The 20,375-nt window shown below is 40.2% G+C and overlaps 1 protein-coding gene and 1 non-coding gene across 3 annotated transcripts in view, besides 1 other annotated feature; both read left to right on the top strand.

Moving 5' to 3' along the window:
* The window catches only part of PUM1 (pumilio RNA binding family member 1), a 134,212-nt gene that overhangs the window by 99,362 nt on the left and 14,475 nt on the right, over window positions 1–20,375 (top strand). Inside the window, exons 13-17 of one of the 2 annotated variants that reach the window (NM_014676.3) lie at window positions 78–374; window positions 1,446–1,682; window positions 12,375–12,642; window positions 13,993–14,122; window positions 16,095–16,223. In NM_014676.3, coding sequence (NP_055491.1) covers window positions 78–374; window positions 1,446–1,682; window positions 12,375–12,642; window positions 13,993–14,122; window positions 16,095–16,223 — 1,061 coding nt within the window. Of the gene's footprint in view, window positions 1–77; window positions 375–1,445; window positions 1,683–12,374; window positions 12,643–13,992; window positions 14,123–16,094; window positions 16,230–20,375 lie in introns of both variants that reach the window. The other variant, NM_001020658.2, reaches the window with a different exon arrangement.
* Window positions 13,380–14,579: an enhancer, noted in NCBI's record as "BRD4-independent group 4 enhancer chr1:31424624-31425823 (GRCh37/hg19 assembly coordinates)". NCBI's record gives its function as "activates an origin of replication core promoter dependent on BRD2, P300/CBP, MED14 and CDK7 cofactors, and independent of BRD4, by STARR-seq in HCT116 cells {active_cell/tissue: HCT116}" and the evidence as "EXISTENCE:reporter gene assay evidence [ECO:0000049][PMID:35650434]".
* On the top strand, window positions 17,151–17,238 carry SNORD103B (small nucleolar RNA, C/D box 103B). Its single transcript, NR_033295.1, has one exon. It is a non-coding gene; the product is annotated as a small nucleolar RNA, C/D box 103B (small nucleolar RNA).

Here is a 20,375-nt window from a genome sequence, read left to right as displayed (position 1 = left end):
TGAAAAAAGATAAAAATGTAGTTTGGAAATGTGGCCAGTCCCTTTCATAGCCAAACGGTTTGCTTTCTTCTTCATAGCTGTTGCAGCAGCCGCAGCTTCAGCAAATGGAGCAGCTGGTGGTCTTGCTGGAACAACAAATGGACCATTTCGCCCTTTAGGAACACAGCAGCCTCAGCCCCAGCCCCAGCAGCAGCCCAATAACAACCTGGCATCCAGTTCTTTCTACGGCAACAACTCTCTGAACAGCAATTCACAGAGCAGCTCCCTCTTCTCCCAGGGCTCTGCCCAGCCTGCCAACACATCCTTGGGATTCGGAAGTAGCAGTTCTCTCGGCGCCACCCTGGGATCCGCCCTTGGAGGGTTTGGAACAGCAGGTAGAAATTAGACTGATATGCTCTTAAGACTGAATTTTAATTATTTTTACAATCCTTCTGGAATACTGGCAATGCATGGAACCACAGGCAGATCTGGACCAAGCCTTGTGGGAATCCAGCCATCCCACATAATCTGTGAGATGATAGACTATTGAAATCAAGTTATACAGATGGGACCTATTTCAATCCATGCTCATGTGGCTACTTACTTAATCAGTTTCTTTCAGGGATTTGAAATCTAGGGAAGATTTTTGCTGTATTTGGGAAAAATATTGAGGGAACTGTAGAAATTGATATCAAAAACTGAGGGAGGAGGACTTACTAAAGATAGCAGAGCTGAAATACTCCACAATTGAGACTGAGCCGAGTTCTTGGCCTGCAGGCCTTAAAGAGTTACAAGTTTTCTTCAGTCTTTTGAGTAGAATTTAAGGTAGACATGTGGAAAATTAGGAGGAAGGATATTAGACCAAGATATTTTTAATGTTTTGATGAAAAAAGCAGGAGTGTAGTATGGTGAATAATGGGATAATTGCAGAGATTATAAAAAACAAACAAACAAAAGTGATCCCTAAATAGAAGGGCATGTGTGAAAGAAAGTATCTTAATTGGAATTGAGGGCAGCATTAACTCTCGATTGAACCCACTGAGAAAACAGGCTTTCATATAGAAGTCTTGTGTAGTGGGGCAGTACCCCATTTACAAATCTTTTTTCTGTATCCCATTTTTCTACTTGAACCTTTTCAATTGATGAAAGGCATTCTTCTAGTCCATTTTCTTCCACCTTTTCCATAGTTCATGTGGCCGTCAGAGCTTTTTAACCCTCCCTTATCCTATAATATACGACACCATAGGAAGGTAAATTTGGCATATGTTTGATGGTCATGTTAACCTGAGCCATGTCCTCTTTATTACTTATCTGCCCCTAGTACTGCTACATTAACAGTTAGGCTGTCTCTGCTGACAAATTTGCGGTGGTAAGGAGTCTGGATCAAAGTGTTAGGAACAGGTCACTGGGCTTGTTCTTCGAAGAACAGGCCTGTTCTTATCTGCATTGTTTTAATTCCATTTTAGTTGCAAACTCCAACACTGGCAGTGGCTCCCGCCGTGACTCCCTGACTGGCAGCAGTGACCTTTATAAGAGGACATCGAGCAGCTTGACCCCCATTGGACACAGTTTTTATAACGGCCTTAGCTTTTCCTCCTCTCCTGGACCCGTGGGCATGCCTCTCCCTAGTCAGGGACCAGGACATTCACAGACACCACCTCCTTCCCTCTCTTCACATGGATCCTCTTCAAGCTTAAACCTGGGTAAGAACCATTACTCTAACACCACCTTGAACTCTAGAACTCTCTTGCCACCGATGACATTACAAGAACTTTGCATAAGCAAAGGACAGTCCCTTTATACTAGAAGTGTCCTGGGTGTTCTGTGCCTTCCGTAAATACCTCATGTTATTCAGGCTGTACCTATAGATAGTATAGCAGTTTTGGCTTTATTATAGTTTGGGTACATTCCCTGTATATTCAGTTAGCTTTAGTATGAACATTTTATTCTTTGGCTACCTGTGAGAGTATTTCAATGTAAACAATATAAACACAGGTTCATTTCAGTGAAGCTAGGAAACACAGAGACAGAATTTAATCACCTAGTATCACCACCTGAAATACCACCACAATTAATATTTTGCCTTATTTCCTTTCAAAATTTCCCCTCTGCTATATGTACATATAATATCTTGCTTTTTCACAAAAAGCATTTTATTTTTAAAATTTTGCCATATTTTAAAATATTTGTAAATATAAACTCTCAAACCATATAGTATGTTAATGAGGAGATGTATATTTCCCTATTAAATATTTAGATTGTTTTATGCATGGGATTTTAAAATATTACCATCTAGATTCTAGAAAATAGGGAGAGAAAAAGAGGATCCCAAGCAGCAGGCTATAAGAATGAAAAGAAAATTATATTACCTTTTTTTTGGTGGCAAATCTCTAAATCTTTCAGGACATGGGAGATGTTTTCTTATCTCAAGCATGGTGCATACTCCTCTCCCGCAGTTATGTATTAAGTTTAAAGTACTGATTTATTTGCTAGATGGGGAAAATTGAATGCTAGATGTAGAGTCACCATATAATGTATCATGCAAACCAGAACACTTTTGTGAGTGGAAGGGGGTGCTATGAATAATTACTTGGTGATGATAGGCCTAAATCAGGACTGTCCTGGGCAAATCAGCACATGTGGCCACTTTACCAAGAAGATTCTGTTCTTAACCAGCAAGATTAAAAGTGGCTTCATGGACTCAGAAGTGAGAACTTGACTAAAAACAAACAGGATGCCTTCGTTTGGATAGGCAGACTAGAAAGTGATTTATAAGATTCAAGAGAAGTCTGAAGTGGGTAGGGTAATAGACTTATTATTCTAGACCTAGGAGTGATAGCTTTGAGTTTGAAAGAGGCGAGTTTCAAGTCAAAACTATGTTTATATATACACATTGGCATGTGTGTGCGTATCCTGAAGTTTTATACAGTAAGAACTTTAGTTGTAGAACTCATTTTCTCAGGTTATATATGAACATCACTTTATAAAAGTTACTGTGACATTCCTGATTAGTAGGTCCATAATAGGTAGACAGGGGGATGGGGTACATTGCACAACAGTGTTTCCTAGTGACACAATGCCTGGCTTTAAACACTGGGGGTTAATGCAGAATCTGGAGAGAGCTGTCAAACTCCCAGTTTGATACGTGGCTAGAAGGAAGGAAGTAATGTTCACTGACCTGGCATTTACCTGCTGGTGTTAATGGTTTTGGGTCCTGTACATACAACACTGGAAGGTATAGGTATTATTTCGTGTCTCAGGACTTAAATATCTTGCCTAGCCTGTGTCATCTCAGATTTGAACAGATTTAGAATCAAGCCTTTTCGACTCCAAAGCATGCAGTTTCAGTGTATATCCTGTTACATGATGTACTCAGGATATCTTGAACCAGTCCATTACCAAATCCAGAAATATGTATCTTTTAATTTCTTGGTTTAAAAACATGTGAACTATGTCATCCCATACTACATACTAAATAAACTGAACCTGCTAAGTTTTTTTTTCATAAAGAGCCAGATAGTAAATGTTTTAGGTTTTATAGGCCAGATGGTGTCTGTAGTGAATATTTAACTCTGCTGTTGAAGTGTGAAAGCAACCACAGACAAAATGTAAATGAGTGAATACGTAGCTATCTTCTAATAAAACCTTATTTATAAAAATAGATGGGCCAGGCATGATGGCTCACATCTGTAATCCCAGCACTTTGGGAGGCCGAGGTGGGCAGATCACTTGAGGTCAGGAGTTCAAGACCAGTCTGGCCAACATAGTGAAGCCCCGCCTCTACCAAAAAATACAAAAATTAGCCAGGCATGGTGGCGTGTGCCTGTAGTCCCAGCTGCTTGGGAGGCTGAGGTGGGAGAATTGCTTGAACCTGGGAGACAGGCTGCAGTGAGCTGAGATCGTGCCACTGCGCTCCAGCCTGAGCAACAGAGTAAGACCCTGTCTCAAAACAAAATAAGATAAAATAAAATAAAAAGCTGTGGTTCCTTGGTGCGTGGAAATGGAGCCAGAAATACTACTTTCATGCATGATACCTTTCCTCTTTCTAAAGCATCAGCAATTTAATGTAATACTACCTCTTAATTTTTGTTTTCCCTGTGAAGAAGGAAATAACTATTAGTGTGAGTTATTTCTTGTCAAATGACTTGTTGCCTGCCTAGTTTTATGTTTAACATAACTTCTCTTTGGAAACATTCACCTTGTTCAAGCAGTTTTTTAGTGTACATTTGCACTGGACTTCTGTTGTGTGTAGTGCATGTTTCGTACATGCCATTCCTGAGGAACTCTTTGTCTCAGTACAGCTTTGCCTCAGCTCAGTCTGTTTCCTCGAGAAAGTAGAGGTGTGCTACTTGGTTTCTAACAATCTCCATACAAAGGCCTTAAAGACATTTTAGTATAAGAAACATAACATTTCTTTCTGGCCCACACCTAATATAGCTTCTGTTGTTAATACTACTTCACTGCTGCCACCAGCCATCAGCAGTGATGAGCAGCCATACTAAGCATTTTATATTCATTGTGTTGAATACTCAAAAGAACCCTTCACCCCTTAAAATTCAGCGTGGCTTAATTAATATTGCTAATGATATCGACCACAAAACTAGTGTTTGAATGCGCACATCAGCCTATATCTCGTGTGGATCTTTTCCCCATCTTGTCTTTTTTACACTTTGTCCCAGGAGGCAGATATGTGTTAGTATCTTTTAACAAAATCAGTGACCTGTTTAGTAATTTTTCCTATTATTTTTTTAAAAATCACTTATTGAGTGGCATGGTTTTTCATTACTGATTGTTTAAAGTTCAGACTAAAAACAAACCTTTTTGAGTTCTATTCCCCCCCGTTTTTATTGTTTGGGACAGGGTCTTGCTCTGTTGCCCAGACTGGAATGCAGTGGTGCTATCATAGCTCACTGTAACCTCAAACTCCTGGGCTCAAAGGATCTTTCCACCCCAGCTTCCCAAGTAGCTGGTACTGTAAGCACACACCACCACACCCAGCTAATTAAAATAATTTTTTTTTTTTTTTTTTTGTAGAAACTAAGTCTTGCTATGTTGGTCAGGGTGGTCTCGAACTCCGGGCCTCCAGTGATCCTCTTGCCTTGGCCTCTCAAAGCACTAGGATTACAGATGTGAGCTACTATTCCTGGCTCCTTTTTTTCTTTATTTTATTTTATTTATTTTTTTGAGATAGAGTTTCACTCTGTGGCCCTGGTTGGAATGCAGTGGCGTGATCTCGGCCCACTCCAACTTCTGCCTCCCGGTTCAAGTGATTCTCCTGCCTCAGCCTCCCAAGTAGCTGGGATTACAGGCACGTGCCACCATGCCCAGCTAATTTTTTATTTTTAGTAGAGATGGTGTTTTACCATGTTGGCCAGGCTGGTCCCTTTTTTTTTTCATTTTTAAAATGTTGTCTTTTAAAATGCACTAGTTTTTTATTTTGATGAGGTCCAGTTTATCTTGGTTTTGGAATAGTATCGAAGAAATCTTTGCCTAACTCAAACTCTTGGGGGAATATTTTCTCATGTTTTGCTCTAAAAAAATTTATTGTTTTATCTCTTAAATATAAGTCTGTGATCCATTTTGAGTTAATTTTGGGTGTCAGGTCAGGGTTCATCTTTTTGCACATGCATTTCTAGTTGTCCTAGCACCATTTTCCTTTGTAATTTTGGTGTGCAGGTCTTGCACTGCTTCTGTTAAATTTATTCCTAACTGGATATATTTTTGATGCTATTACAAATAGAATTATGTTCCGGTTTTATCTTTTGATAGACTATTGCTTGCTTATGGAAATACAATTGGTTTTTGTATATTGATCTTATATACTGTGGCCTCGCTGTAGTTGTTTATTAGTAGTTCTAATGGTTTTTGGGTGGATTCTGTAGGATTTTCTACATATAAGATCATATCATCTTAAGAATAAAAGCCATTTCCCAATCTGGATGACTTTTCTTTTTCTTGTCTGATTGCACTGTGTAGAACCTCCAGGACAGATTGAGAATCCCAAGTCAAAAATCTGAAATGCTGCAAAACCCAAAACATTTTTGAGCATCAACAAAGTCTTTGTTGAAAGTTAACAAAGCTCAAAGGAAATGCTCATTGGAGCATTTAGAATTTTTGATTTTCATATTAGGATGCTCAGCTGGTAGATATAATTCACGTATTCCAAAATCTGAAAGACTTTGAAATCTGAAACACTTCTGGTCCCAAGTACTTTGGATAAAGGGTACTCAACCTGGACTGTGTTAAATGGAAGAAATAAGAGCACACATCTTTCCCTTGTTCCTGATCTTGGCAGGGGGTGGAGGTAAAGTGTTTGTCTTTTACCATTAAGCATAATCACAGTTGGTTTTTAGTAGATGCCCTTTATTAGGTTGAGAAAGTTTCCTTCTAGCCTAAGTTTATTGAGAGTTTTTGTTGCAAATGGGTTTTAGTTTTTGTCAAGTGTTTTTTATGCCCTTTTTTTTTTTTTTGAGCTGGAGTCTTGGTCTGTCTCCCAGGGTGGAGTGCAATGGTGCAATCTCGGCTCACTGCAACCTCTGCCCCCTGGGTTCACACCATTCTCCTGCCTCAGCTTCCCAAGTAGCTGGGACTATAGGCGCCCACCACCACGCCCGGCTAATTTTTTGTATTTTTTGTAGAGATGGGGTTTCACAGTGTCAGCCAGGATGGTCTCGATCTCCTGACCTCATGATCTGCCTGCCTTGGCCTCCCAAAGTGTTGGGATTACAGGTGTGAGCCATCTCGCCCGGCCATTTTTTCTGCATTAATTGACGATCATGTGGCTTTTATCCTGTATTCCGTGAATGTGGTATGTTACATTAATTGATTTTCAGATATTAATCCAATCCTGCATTCCAGATATACATCTTAACTGACCATCATGTGGCTTTTATCTTGTATTCTGTGAATGTGGTATGTTACATTAATTGATTTTCAGATATTAATCCAACTGCATTCCAGATATACATCTTACTTTGGTCATGTTCGATTTGGTGTGTTTGTATTTTTGTTGAGGATTTTTGAATCTGTATTAATGAAGGATGTGTGTTTTTCTTTCTCGTGAGGTGTGTGTTGTGGCTTGGTGTCAGGGTGATACTGACCTCATAGCATGAAATTCGAAGTGTACCATCCCTCTCTGTTTTCTGGAAGAGTTTGTGGAGTACTAGCATTATTTCTTTAAACATTTGATAAACTTGACCAGGTAAGCCAGTCTTAGCCTGGGCATTTATTTGTAGTAAGATTTTTACTTAACCCATTTCTTTACATCTTATAGGTCTTATAGGTTCAGATTTTTATTTCTTCTTGAGTCAGTTTTGATAATTTGTGACCTTCTAGGAATTTGTCCATTTCATCTAAAATGCCAAATTTGTTAGCATAAAATGTACTATTTTAATAAGTGAAATCTCTCTCTCAATCTTCCTCTCCCATCTTCCCCATACATGCATATATACCCATGAATGTGTACATATAAAATATGTTGTGACCCTGAACAAGGCAGATGTTGCAAGTATTTATTTTGTTTGACTTATGTGTTACATGTCTCAATTTAACAGTATTATTAATCATAGTTAATAAATATGAATTTTCTTAACAACTAGATCTGTAACTCTCATTTGTGGTTTATATGTGGGTTACATAGAAAACCTTAAACTCTCACCTATAACTGAAACATCCATGTCTAGTAAATTCTACTTCCCATCTCAAAGAGAAAAAAAGTAAGGGATGTGGATATGAGTGTCCCCAAAGACTGACTGTAATGGTTTCATGCCCTGCCTACCCATGGATCTCTTTATCCTACTCCCCCGCCCTTTCTCACCCCTCATTTCTTAGAATGCTTCTCCATGCTTACAGTTTTTTGCACAATCCCCTGGCTGTATCATTTAAAAACTCTTAAACATCAAGAGGTAGCAGGTACAGTTTTTTGTTGACGACACCCAGGCTTTTCATTTGCCCTGGAAGAAAAGTGTTGTGGTTGTTCATTACTTCAGAAATGAAATATATAATAGTAAAAATGAGCTCAAAAGTTCATAAGCTGTCTAGGGCAAAAAAATGAAAGCATTTATAACTAAATTTCAATTTAGTTCTAAACTTAGTTCTAAACTAAAAAGCATTTAGTTTTATTATTGTGATAGAAGTATTATCTTCTCAAAATGTATTCTTTCTGTCCTTTATCTTCAGGGTTTTATACGCCTTTTAGTTTTTTAGGAAAAGCACAGCTCAAACAGAAAATACCTTTCTCTGTCCTTGCTTGAACTGAAGGAGAAGTTTCTAAGTTACTGGCCAGTAAGCAGTAGTCATGTATGTGTTTAGGTATTTCCCCATTCTGAATTGAAATGAATATTTTGTGATTTCTCACTTGGTTCTTTGAAGGAGACGTATCAGCTGTAAAACCAACCATGTGACAATTAACGTATTTTGGACTCATTAATCATGCACTAAGATGATCAGTTTTCAGGGTTATTTAATTTAGAGCTACCTTGGTGTTGTGTTGGAGAATGAATTGGAGAGAACTTATTTTTAAAACATTTTGATGAACATTGTTGCTTCTGGTTGTATTAAACACAGAACTAGATACTGGGGACCATGGGAATTTTTCTTTAAAAGTGGGAAGGCAGGGCTTTGCCCATTAGGCATCTATTAGATCTATGAGTACAAAAAGCAAGTAAATGATAACATTTGACGTAGCATGGGCATGACATACTACATGACCACTGGCAGAAATCCCTTATATACAATTATGCAAAATAGCTGAAGCACTTATTAATTTAAATAAAACATTTAAGCCCTTACTCTCTGTGGAAAGTTGTCATAGGACACACTCCTATGAAATCCACCACTGTCCCTTTGAAGCCTTATGAGAAATGTTTCTTTTAAAACAGTTGCAAATTTAAACACTTCCAGAGTGTTGCACCCAAACCCCCAGAGCTATAGTGGTTTGGGTGCAAGTACATGTTGGTATTCAGACTATTGTGAATCGGAAAGCACATTTGTGCATTCGCCATCTAAATGAGATTCAGTCAACAAATACTTACTGATGGTCAGATATTTATTTACTATTTGTCACGCATTTTTTTCAAAAACAAGATATTACAATTTAGAGCAAAAATTTAAGCTTTGGCTTAATGTTGAAAGAAGTACTGCTTGGCTCAAACAAAATATGTCTGTGAACTGTCAGTTTGCCATTGCCATTTATAATTTAGTACCTAGGAAAATTTCACTTCAGAGATGTCTATATTTCTTAGTAATAAAAGCTGTGTGTGTGTGTGTGTGTGTGTGTGTGTGTGTGTGTATGAATGTCCTTGTAGTATGTACTTGTCTGACATCTAAGGAGATAAGAGGCAAAAATCAAAACTTCACGGTAAATGTATTAACCGTTTTTGTAGGCGTATTAACTGTTGTTCAGTCCAGTCCTGTGTGTGGATTAGTCATTATGTTTTTGCCCATAATAACAGAACATCCAACAAAGAGTGGCTTAAACAATAAGTGCATTTATTGGCCTTTATAACTGGAAGTATAGTGGTAGGGCAGTGTTCAGGGTTGGTTTGTCTTGTCATTAAACATTGTCACCAAGGACCTGGCTCCTTTATAATTTACCTTCCATTTTGGTCAGTGACCAGTTTCTTAAAATCCCTTTAAATTGTTTTCAAAACATTGTGTGTTCGCCCCATACCTTCTTCTTTGGTATGTTTGTTGCTATTGCCACACTTTCCCCATACCTGCCAACCTACCCTGTTACCACCTCTTTGTCCATTTCTCCCCAGCCTCAGACAGGTAAGACAGAATTGTTTCTGAAATGGAATAAAGAACAGTCTTGGCCGGGCGCCGTGGCTCATGCCTGTAATCCCAGCACTTTGGGAGGCTGAGATGGGCGGATCACATGAGGTCAGGAGTTTGAGAGTAGTCTGGCCAACATGGTGAAACCCCATCTCTACTAAAAGTACAAAAATTAGCCGGGCGTGGTGGTGCACACCTGTAGTCCCAGCTACTTGGACGGCTGAGGTGGGAGAATTGCTTCAACCTGGGAGGCGGAGATTGCAGTGAGCTGAGATTGCACCATTGCACTCCAGCCTAGGTGACAGAGCAAGACTCCGTCTCAAAAAAAACAAAAAACAAAACAAAAAAAAACAGTCTTATGACTGCTGTTTTCTTTTCAGTTAATCTCCTTTCTTCCTTAAAAAAATCACTTTTCATTTGAATTCAGAAATACTGTGGAATTTGACAAGAATGTTCTGTAGAACAAGAAAACTTGATGAAACTGAGTCAGAAAATGAATTTCAGACCCCGAAAGGGCCTTGACCCTGGAGTCAAGAGCCCTGTTCTGAATTCTGGCCATGACAATTTTGGGTTTTGTATCTTTGGATGAACATTTCACCTCTCTGGGCTTAATTTTCTGTTACATAAATGGGAGTTGCAAACTCCTTTTCCAAAATGCCAGTGAGAATTCCAGAGAAAGTGTATATGAAAAACTTCTAACATAGAATTGGGCTTAGGACAAATACTAAGTAAATATTTTACAAATTTCTGCATTGAGTCATTTTCTTTTGGTTTCATCACTTTGATTGAGACCCAGACTTTTGAAGCTGGGCCCTGGAATTCTGTGAAGTCCAGCCTGGGTATCTTTTTGTGGCTACCATTAAACCCCAAACCAGACATTTATTAAGACTTGTGAAGAGTTGAGAAGTAGTTAATATTGGATGACTTTTCTCGTGGGTTTTTAATTGTTATTCATCTAAACTTTTTGTGGTTTATGTAATATTTCTTACCTCCTTTGGCCTTTTGTTTAAAAGGAGGTGGGGGAAACAACCCCAGAAAGGCTTGGCATCTTTTTTCTATTGCAATCAAAATTTAAAATGAAATAAAATAAGAACTGTTTTTTGTTTTGTTTTGTTTTGGTTTGGTTTTTTTTTTTTTTCAGATGGAGTCTTGCTCTGTCGCCCAGGCTGGAGTGCAGTGGCACAATCTCGGCTCACTGCAAGCCCTGCCTCCGGGGTTCGCCATTCTCCTGCCTCAGCCTCCCAAGTAGCTGGGATTACAGGCACCTGCCACCACGCCCAGCTAATTTTTTTTTTTTTTTTTGTATTTTTTAGTAGAGTCGGGGTTTCACCGTGTTAGCCAGGATGGTCTTGATCTCCCGACCTTGTGATCGGCCCGTCTCAGCCTCCCAAAGTGTCAGGATTACAGGCATGAGCCACCGTCCCTGGCCTGTTATTTTGTTATTTTAAAATACTCATAATTTATTATGCTGCTATACTGTTTTTTTCTGTTTGTTTGTTTTTGTTTTTTTTTGTTTGTTTGTTTGTTTTTTTTGGAGACAAGGTCTTGCTCTGTTGCCTAGACTGGAGTGGAGTGGTGCAATCATGGCTTACTGCAGCCTCGACCTACTGGGCTCAGGTGATCCTCCTATCTCAACATCCCAAGTAGTTAGGACTACAGGTGTGTATCACCACACCCAGCTAATTTTTATTTTTTATTTTTTTTTAGAGATGGGGTCTCTCTCTGTTGTCCAGGCTGGTCTCGAACTCTTAGGCTCAAGCCATCCTCCTGCTTCGACTTCCCAAAGTGTTGGGTTTACAGACATCAGCCACCACGCCTGGCCTGCTATATGTTTTGATACGCCTTTTGGTCATATGTTTGTTTTATCTGTGATTCACAATTATTCCCTTGTCACCCATCAAAACAGCATTATCAGTGGCATGAAGGTTGTTGGAACTACAGTCATTTCAGGCTGTGTCACAATAGAAATTGTTAAGAGCTGTCCATTTGTAATGAAAACTCGAAAATTTTTCATTTTTAAGGCATCTCCTGTCTTGTACTCATTATGTCTCATCCATGGCCTGGAATGTCTTAGCGATTTTCACACTTCTATTTAGTGGCAAAATCATTCCTTCAAAGACAGCTTTTTCATGGGATCCCCTGTATAAAACAGACCAATCTGGATGCCTGATTTTTTAGAGTGGGTTTCAGATGGAAATGGGGGTTATTCAAGAATGAAAGGAATCTCCGCAGATCTCAGAATGGAAAACCACTCCAGTCTGAGTTTGTTTTGCATTTTCTGAGTTTTTATTGCTGGTGCTCAGGTGCTAGGTTCACCTGGTCGGCACATTTCTTCCTCATTTCATTTACTAGGGGCCATGCTAACTGTTGCTCCAGCCTTACTAGCAGTCTACCATCAACGGTAAAAGCATTCCCTTCTCAATCTTTGTGCAAAAGTTTCCTTCCAGGTTGTTGAGTTGACCCACGAAAGTCATGACGCTAATAGAATTGTCTTGACACAAAAACAACAGCATTGAAGAAATCAGAAATGGTGCAGGCTTTCGGGTGTGGGAATGCTTTTTTCTCTCTTGAATGAAGTTGCTGAAGAGTGGTCTTAAGTTATCCTGTTCTGTAACCAACAGGAGGACTCACGAATGGCAGTGGAAGATACATCTCTGCTGCTCCAGGCGCTGAAGCCAAGTACCGCAGTGCAAGCAGCGCCTCCAGCCTCTTCAGCCCGAGCAGCACTCTTTTCTCTTCCTCTCGTTTGCGATATGGAATGTCTGATGTCATGCCTTCTGGCAGGAGCAGGCTTTTGGAAGATTTTCGAAACAACCGGTACCCCAATTTACAACTGCGGGAGATTGCTGGACATATAATGGAATTTTCCCAAGACCAGCATGGGTCCAGGTGAGTACTTGGCTTTGGCACTTTAAGGTACCCGAAATTGTAATGCCTTAACTGTCTTGGCTCAGATGGGTATCTACTTAAATAAATTGCCATATAGTAATTTTTTAAAAGCGTGCCTCTTAGTTTGCATCACATTATTTCATAGGGATTTAAGAAACAAACATGAACACAAAGACATACATACACTTCGGCTGCTTTAAGCATTATGAAGAATCTTTTGCTCTCAAAGAGTTGCTATTCAAATACAAGTTTGATCTAGGGTGCTGAGGAGTAAGACAGCTCTACCACCTTTCTTTGTTGTTCCACTCTGTAGAAGTGACAGTCTATGTAGAGACGAGAGAAGAAACTATTATAGAAGACAGAATTTGGTTTGGTTTACCCCTTCCTGTTGGGCTGCTGCAGTGGGCTTCACAGAAAGCGAATCTGGTCCTGGGGATAGAGCATAATTATGGTGACAACACCCATCCTTCTTTCCCATTTCTGTTTCTGTTTCTTTCTCTGATACTGTGTCCAGTGAAACAGTTTCTACAGAAGCTACCTCCTCCTTAAGTTCTGCCAGCTTGCTACTGGGCCAAAATTTCTCATATTTGAATTCTATAGGCTAGATTCAGAGGCAACATGATTTTCCTGATAGTGGTCATTTGGACTAAAAAAAGGCAGACTGTTACTACTTCAGAAGATAATGAATACTGTTTTGTTTTTGTTTTTTTGTTTTGTTTTGTTTTGTTTTGTTTTTTTGAGACAGAGTCTTGCTCTGTCGCCCAGGCTGGAGTGCAGTGGCGCAATCTTGGCTCATTGCAAGCTCTGCCTCCCGGGTTCACGCCATTCTCCTGCTTCAGCCTCCCGAGTAGCTGATGAGTACTGTTTTATATGAAAATAAGTTAAAGAATATAGTAAGGACTGTAAGCTTTGAGTTCATTGATGTGAGGCTGGTTTCTAAAGGAAAAAAGTCAAGTAGGGTACATGTTGTGTTATGTCTCCCTCCACCCCTCCTCTCTTCCTGCACCCCTGCCCCTCCCGCCCCCCCCCCGCCCCCCCCGCTTTCATCTTCCCTCCCACCTTGCACATAAATAAGATTCAGTATGCATGCCCTACTGGAATGAAATGTGCCAACATTTATATGTAATTTTCAAAGCTCAATTAAGTTAGGACCTTCTTCCTCTATTTAAAAACTCTTCAAGGGAGTTCAAGTGATTCATTCAAATAAAGTTTGGTTTATTGTGTGCATGTGTGTGCACACATGCTCACTCACATGTTTCAGAACGGATGCAGTCTATAAACCGAGGTACACTGATGTATCTCCAGGTCTTCCTTCAGTGCTGTGATTGCCCTTTTTACTTTGTACTTCAGATTCATTCAGCTGAAACTGGAGCGTGCCACACCAGCTGAGCGCCAGCTTGTCTTCAATGAAATCCTCCAGGCTGCCTACCAACTCATGGTGGATGTGTTTGGTAATTACGTCATTCAGAAGTTCTTTGAAGTAAGCCTTTGTTCTTTCTATCCTTTGACTTAAGAGAATCTGCAGAGCATTTTGATTTTCATTAGCCTTTTTAAGCATAGCAGTCCCATTCCAGTCCTCAGAATGAAGGGTGTGTGGTCTTTTTGAAGAGGTTTTTAGTGTTTTTCCAATTCATTAGCAGCAGTCTATCTATTCTGTATGGTTTAAATATCCGAGCAGATAATGCCAATCTATTTTGGAAATGTGTTTCGAAAACTGGTGTCCCCATTTAGGACCCAGCACATTATTTCAGATTGTTATAATAGTTTCACAAAACGTGTCACTTAAGGAGGAAATAATCCTTGTAAAGTAGTTTTAGCAGGATCACAATAAAATATTGCCAAAAACAAATTTTTCTAAGGTTCTTAGAGAATTGTCTTTGGACACCGACTCCAGTATGTTTCATTATCAGCTAGGGTCACAAGAATTGTTAAATGCTGCTTCTTGGCTGATCGTTTGGCCTTGATTTCTTGTTTTACTTCTGTTAATTTGAATAATGTTCACTTGTTGTATCATTGTCTTTGGAAAGAATGAGATTGTTAGGTTGATGTCTTTTCCCTCTAGTGAGGTAAAATTTCAGAGAGGCAGGGACTTTTTTGCTTACCATTGTAGCCCTTATTATCTGGTATTGGCAACCCTAAGGTGTAGATGCAGAATGGCACAAAACTTCGAGATGAGGAGGAGTCTGGTATGGGGAGGAAAATGCTGGAATTCTGCACATTACCTACCACAAAACAAATTTGTAAATGTCTTAACATCTCATCCTGTTTGATTTGTATGAAGATGAAAAACTGACGTACTCAAGTTTTACCTTCCCAAGTTTTTTCATGAAGACTTATGTTTTTTCACCCTGAATTCTTCAGCTTTGGACTAAGAAACCAATCTAAACATGACTTTTGTATTTTTGATTTTAGAATGACTTTGCACTGCCGTTTTGTCACATATATAAAAATACTGAGCTTTCTAGTTCTGGAGGCTGATGCACCTTGGGGTGACAAAATGTACAATGGATTATAGCCATATGATTTGGACCAAGCTTGAGAACTTCTCTGGATCTTAGTTTCCCTTGGGAGAATGAGGAGGTTGGATGGGCTGAGAATTCATAAAGTCTCCTCCAATCTCACGATTATGTGATTGAAATGAAAATAATAAGCCAAGGATGGAAAATCATTCTAAGTAGAATTTTAACATTGTGTAGCCTCACTTCTTGATTCTACTGATTTTTCCCCTCCCAACTCTGTTACCTTGTGTAAATAGGAGAAAAAAAAATCAATTCTCTTAATGATGTAGAATACTATTTCAAAACAGTGTGTCCATGTGTGCTTTGGCAGTAAGAGTGTAGGATTCTTTTTTTTGACACACAGTCTTGCTCCATTGGGCAGGCTGGAGTGTAGTGGTGCTATCTCAGCTCACTGTAACCTCTGCCGCCTGGGTTCAAGCGATTCTCCTGCCTCAGCCTCCGGAGTAGCTGGAGTTAACAGGAGCGTGCCACCATGCCCAGCCAATTTTTGTGTTTTTAGTAGAGGCAGGATTTTGCCATGTTGGCGAGGCTGGTCTCAAACTCCTGACCTCAGGTGATCCACCCTCCTTGGCCTCCCAAAGTGCTGGGTTTACCGGTGTGAGCCACTGCACCTGGCCAGATTCATTTAATAGTATGAATTAATGACAGCTTTGAGGAATTATGTGTTTGCTTAGCAGATATTAATAGTGAAACTACCTATTGTTGGGTATCCGAGAAACTTCTTAACATTAAAAAGGGTTACTCATAATTAAGAGATCGAGAACTACTGGCTTGAAGAAGCAATGGCTCTTTAAATAAAAGGTTTAGTTAATCATGGGTATCAGGGCTAAAAGAGGTTATGCCAGTGGTTGATGCAGAATAATGAATGCTTTGCTTTCTCTGGTTTATTTCCTTCTACTTAAGTAATGGTGTTTACCCACACATTATGTCTAGTTTGGCAGTCTTGAACAGAAGCTGGCTTTGGCAGAACGGATTCGAGGCCACGTCCTGTCATTGGCACTACAGATGTATGGCTGCCGTGTTATCCAGAAAGCTCTTGAGTTTATTCCTTCAGACCAGCAGGTAATTGTAAGTTTCCCCTTTAACTTTTCTCTTGGTGTTTGATGTTTCTCCATGGTACATGTAGTGAACCCTGTAATTCTGTCAATTTTCAGTTTTCTTTTATGGTTTTGCATTGTTGCTTATGGCTGCCTTTTTGTGCATGGCAAGCATGAACTGTGCAAATAATTTAAACTTGTTGCAGATCAAGTATCTTGTATTAAAACCTGTGGTATCCAATACTCTTCCATTGGCTAGAACTTAGCCTTTAATAGGTTCAATTTTATAGGTGGTTTTTTTTTCCATGAATAAAGCAGGTAAAATACTAATAAGCCATCATTTTCTCCAACAAGTCAAACTTTCATCCAACCCACCTTCCATATTTTTTTACTCCTTCTCTCCTGTTCTTTCATCCCACCAACATCTATTGAACAAAGGCCTGCCCAGCATGGTGCATAGCCTGGTACATTGACCTGAAGCCCACTCTGTGCCAGACTTCATCAGCACAGAGATGACTAACACCTGATCCCTGCCCACAGAGTGCATTCTGGTGGGGAAGAGCCATGGTGGTGAGCAGTGGTGAGGACATGAGAAGGACCCCTCACCCTTCCCAGAGTCCCTGAGGGCCGGCTTTGCAGGAGAAGGCAAGGCTAAAGAAGAGTTAGACAGGGAAGAAGGAACAGAAATGAGAATGCTTAGGTGCTGTGAGTGGGGAACTGAAAGAGAAGTCACCTGAACAGGCCCACAGCTTCTTGACAAGTCACGGCGTGGGTCCAGTGAGCACTGCAGACACCACAGGGCCCAGGAGGCAAAACAGACCCACAGGCAGGGTGTGCTACAGTTGTGTTTGTGCTGGGCAGTGCCTCCAGCCTCCGGTGCTTCTCATCTGAGCCTGCAGCTTTTGGGCTCTGAACTCACTGAGCCCTTCTCAATTGAGGGGTTGGTTGGCCATTGTCTGGCAATGATGACCCACTTGCCCTCACTGAGAACAAAGTTCGGTAATGAGAATCTTTGTTAATGGACTCAAGTTCTGAGCCAGACAAGACACCCACCACCCCTGAGTCAAGCTAAACCAATCCAAACCACTGCACTGGTGTTGGCAGTGGCAGTTGAAGGCTGAAGAAGTCCAAAGTTTTTAAAGTGATAAGTTTCAAAGGTATGTGCCACGATGCTGGTGAAGGGAGAAAGGAATGTTGGAGATAGAGCAGGTCTGGAGTTCATTTATTCAGTGCTTAGTACTAGAGATGTAGCATTAATAAGAAAGTATAAGTAATTAGAAGCAAGTGTGAAGCTATTTTAAATTTTCTTTTAATGTTCAGATCATTGCCAATTTTAATTTTTCTTGGATTTTCATAGATAGTTGAATTGTTCTTCTTTAATTTTCTTGTTTTTCTTTCTTTCTTTTTGGAGACAAGGTCTCACTCTGTCACCCAGGCTGGAGTGCAGTGGCACAATTGTCCTTGTTGCAGCCTCAACCTCCTGAGCTCAAGTGGTCCTCCCATCTTAGCCTCCTGAGTAGCTGGAACTACAGGCATACGCCACTTCCCCTGGTTAATGTGTGTATTTTTGGTAGAGATGGGGTTTCACCACGTTGCCCAGGCTGGTCTTGAACCCCTGGGTTCAATTGATTTGGCCTCCCAAAGTGCTGGGATTACAGGTGTGAGATACCATACCCAGCTGTCGTTGTTTCCTGTGTTATATTTTTGCACATATTTTTTCTGGTCATGTTTCTCTGTGGTGTCTTGTTCTGGGCCTGACTTATGCTTCCTACCCTTTATTATTTTACTCTTCTCTAGATGCAAATTTGCCATTTTGGGTAAAATTAACTCATCTTTGTTGGAATTTTTATTTCTTCTGGATCACAAAAATATCCAGGGAAGCCATCTCTCCTTCATTTTGTTTATAAGTATTCTTTGACTTTATTTTTGTATAAGCTTCATTGTCATAATTATTCCCACAATTCCCATCATTCCTATAATTGTATTTTCAGAGTAAATTATTCTCTTCTGGGCCCAGCACAGTGGCTTATGCCTGTAATCCCAGCACTTTGGGAGGCCAAGGTGGGTAGATTGCTAGGGCCCAGGAGTTTGAGACCAGCCTGGGCAGCATAGTGAAACCCCATCTCTATAAAAAGTTGGCTGGGCATGGTGGTGCACTCCTATAGTCTCAGCTGCTTGGGGTGCTAAGGCAGGAGGATCGCTTGAGCCCGGGAGGTTGAGGCTGCAGTGAGCAGCCTGGGTGACAGATCCTAAGAGACCCTGTTTCAAAAAAAAAAAAAAAAAAAATTTATTCCCTTCTGACACTTGGTTAATCACTGTGTCTCTTGCCTTTTGCTTCTTTAGCCCCTGCCAGTGTAATCTTTAATTTAATTAGATGATATCTTAGTTGCTTTGAGGTACTCAACATTTTGGGCATTTAAGACATTGTATTCATTAACATCACTATTTTGATGTGACTTGCAGTCTTCTAACATAAATCCACTGGCAGCACAGTTTAGCCAATGTACAGAGATTGGAGACAGCAGGGAAACTGGGCAGGAGGCACCAGGTATAGCCATGGTGCAGGCATTTAATTTCAAGATACCTAAGACCTGGGGCAATGAGTTTGGGGGAAGGGCTCCAGTCAAAATCCCAGTGTCTCTCTTTCTATATATCCTGTCACCATCACCCATTTCCTACTCACAGACTCAGTTTCTGGCCATTTCATTTACTTCCTTTGTTTGCACACTTTTCATTAATTGAGAACCATTCCTGCTGACTCTGCAGTCACTGTGACCTAGTAGTAAGATCATAGGTGTTGGAGTCACAGCTTAGGCTAGAATTCTAATTCTGTCACTTTCTATCCATAGTTTGAAATATGTGACTTAAGCCCCTCTGTCTCAGTTTCTTTTATATACCAGCAGAGGTGGGGTGTTCAGGATAATGTATTGTTGACAGTTTGGTTTACTGATATAGTGGTTTACCATACAGTTCAGCCAGATTGCTTGGGTTTGAATGTTGGGAATCTAGGTCTATAGTTTTGTAAGTCTTTTAATTTGCCTCTTCCTTGGTGTCTCCATCTATGGTGGTGTCCACTCCGTAAGACTGTTAGGAAAATTTAATTAAAACATGTTACACGGTTAGAGGTATGCCTAACCAGGGGTAAACTCTAGCTTAATTAGTATCATTACTAGTCATACTTTACAGAGTTATCATAATAAAAACACGATTAATTGTATGTGAAATTCTTTAGTTTGGTTTAGTTTTATTTTTAGAGACAGGGTGTTGCTCTGTCACCCAGGCTTCTGGTGGTGTTACCGTAGCTCACTGCAGCCTCAAACTCCTGGGCTCAGGTGATCCTCCCACCTCAGCCTCCAGAGTAGCTGGGATTATGGCTGTGTGCCATGTAGAAATTCTTTAATACAGTGTGCAAATAGCCCCTGACTTATGATTTTTCAAAACTGTACTTTGAATCTTTTTTATTGTTTTTATTATATATATGTATATAAGTATATATATAAAATAATTTTTTTTTTTTTTTTGAGACAGAGTCTCGCTCTGTCGCTCAGGCTGGAGTGCAGTGGCACAATCTTGCCTCACTGCAACCTCCGCCTCCACGGTTCAAGAAATTCTCCTGCCTCAGCCTCCCGAGTAGCTGAGATTACAGGCGCGCACCACCATGCCCAGCTAATTTTTGTATTTTTAGTAGAGATGGGGTTTCACCATCTTGGCTAGGCTGGTCTCGAACTCCTGACCTTGTGATCTGCCCACCTAGGCCTCCCAAATTGCTGGGGTTACAGGCATGAGCCACTGCACCTGGCCTATGATTTTTTTTTTTTTAATTATAGGCTCTGTGATAAATAATTTTGTCCAACTCTAGGGTACTGTAAATGCTCTGAGCACTTCTGAGGGCCTAGGATTAGCTATGATGTTCTGTAAATTAGGGATATTTAAATGCATTTTTTAGTTAATGATATTTTCAACTTATAATTGGAATGTAATTCTTTTCTAAGTTAAGGAGTATCTGTTCCTGATGTAGGCTTCTTTGTATTTGAAGATGTCTACCCTTTATTTTTTTTTAAGCTCTAGGAGTTGGCCGGGTGTGGTGGCTCATGCCTGTAATTCCAGCACTTGGGGAGGCCAAAGAGGGCAGATCTCCTGAGGTCAGGAGTTCGAGACAGCCTGGCCAACATGGCAA

The sequence above is a fragment of the Homo sapiens genome, chromosome 1, assembly GCF_000001405.40.
Source record: "Homo sapiens chromosome 1, GRCh38.p14 Primary Assembly".
Lineage (NCBI taxonomy): Eukaryota > Metazoa > Chordata > Mammalia > Primates > Hominidae > Homo > Homo sapiens.
The sequence above is the reverse complement of the archived record's forward strand: the minus strand, read 5'-3'. Positions and strand labels throughout refer to the sequence as shown.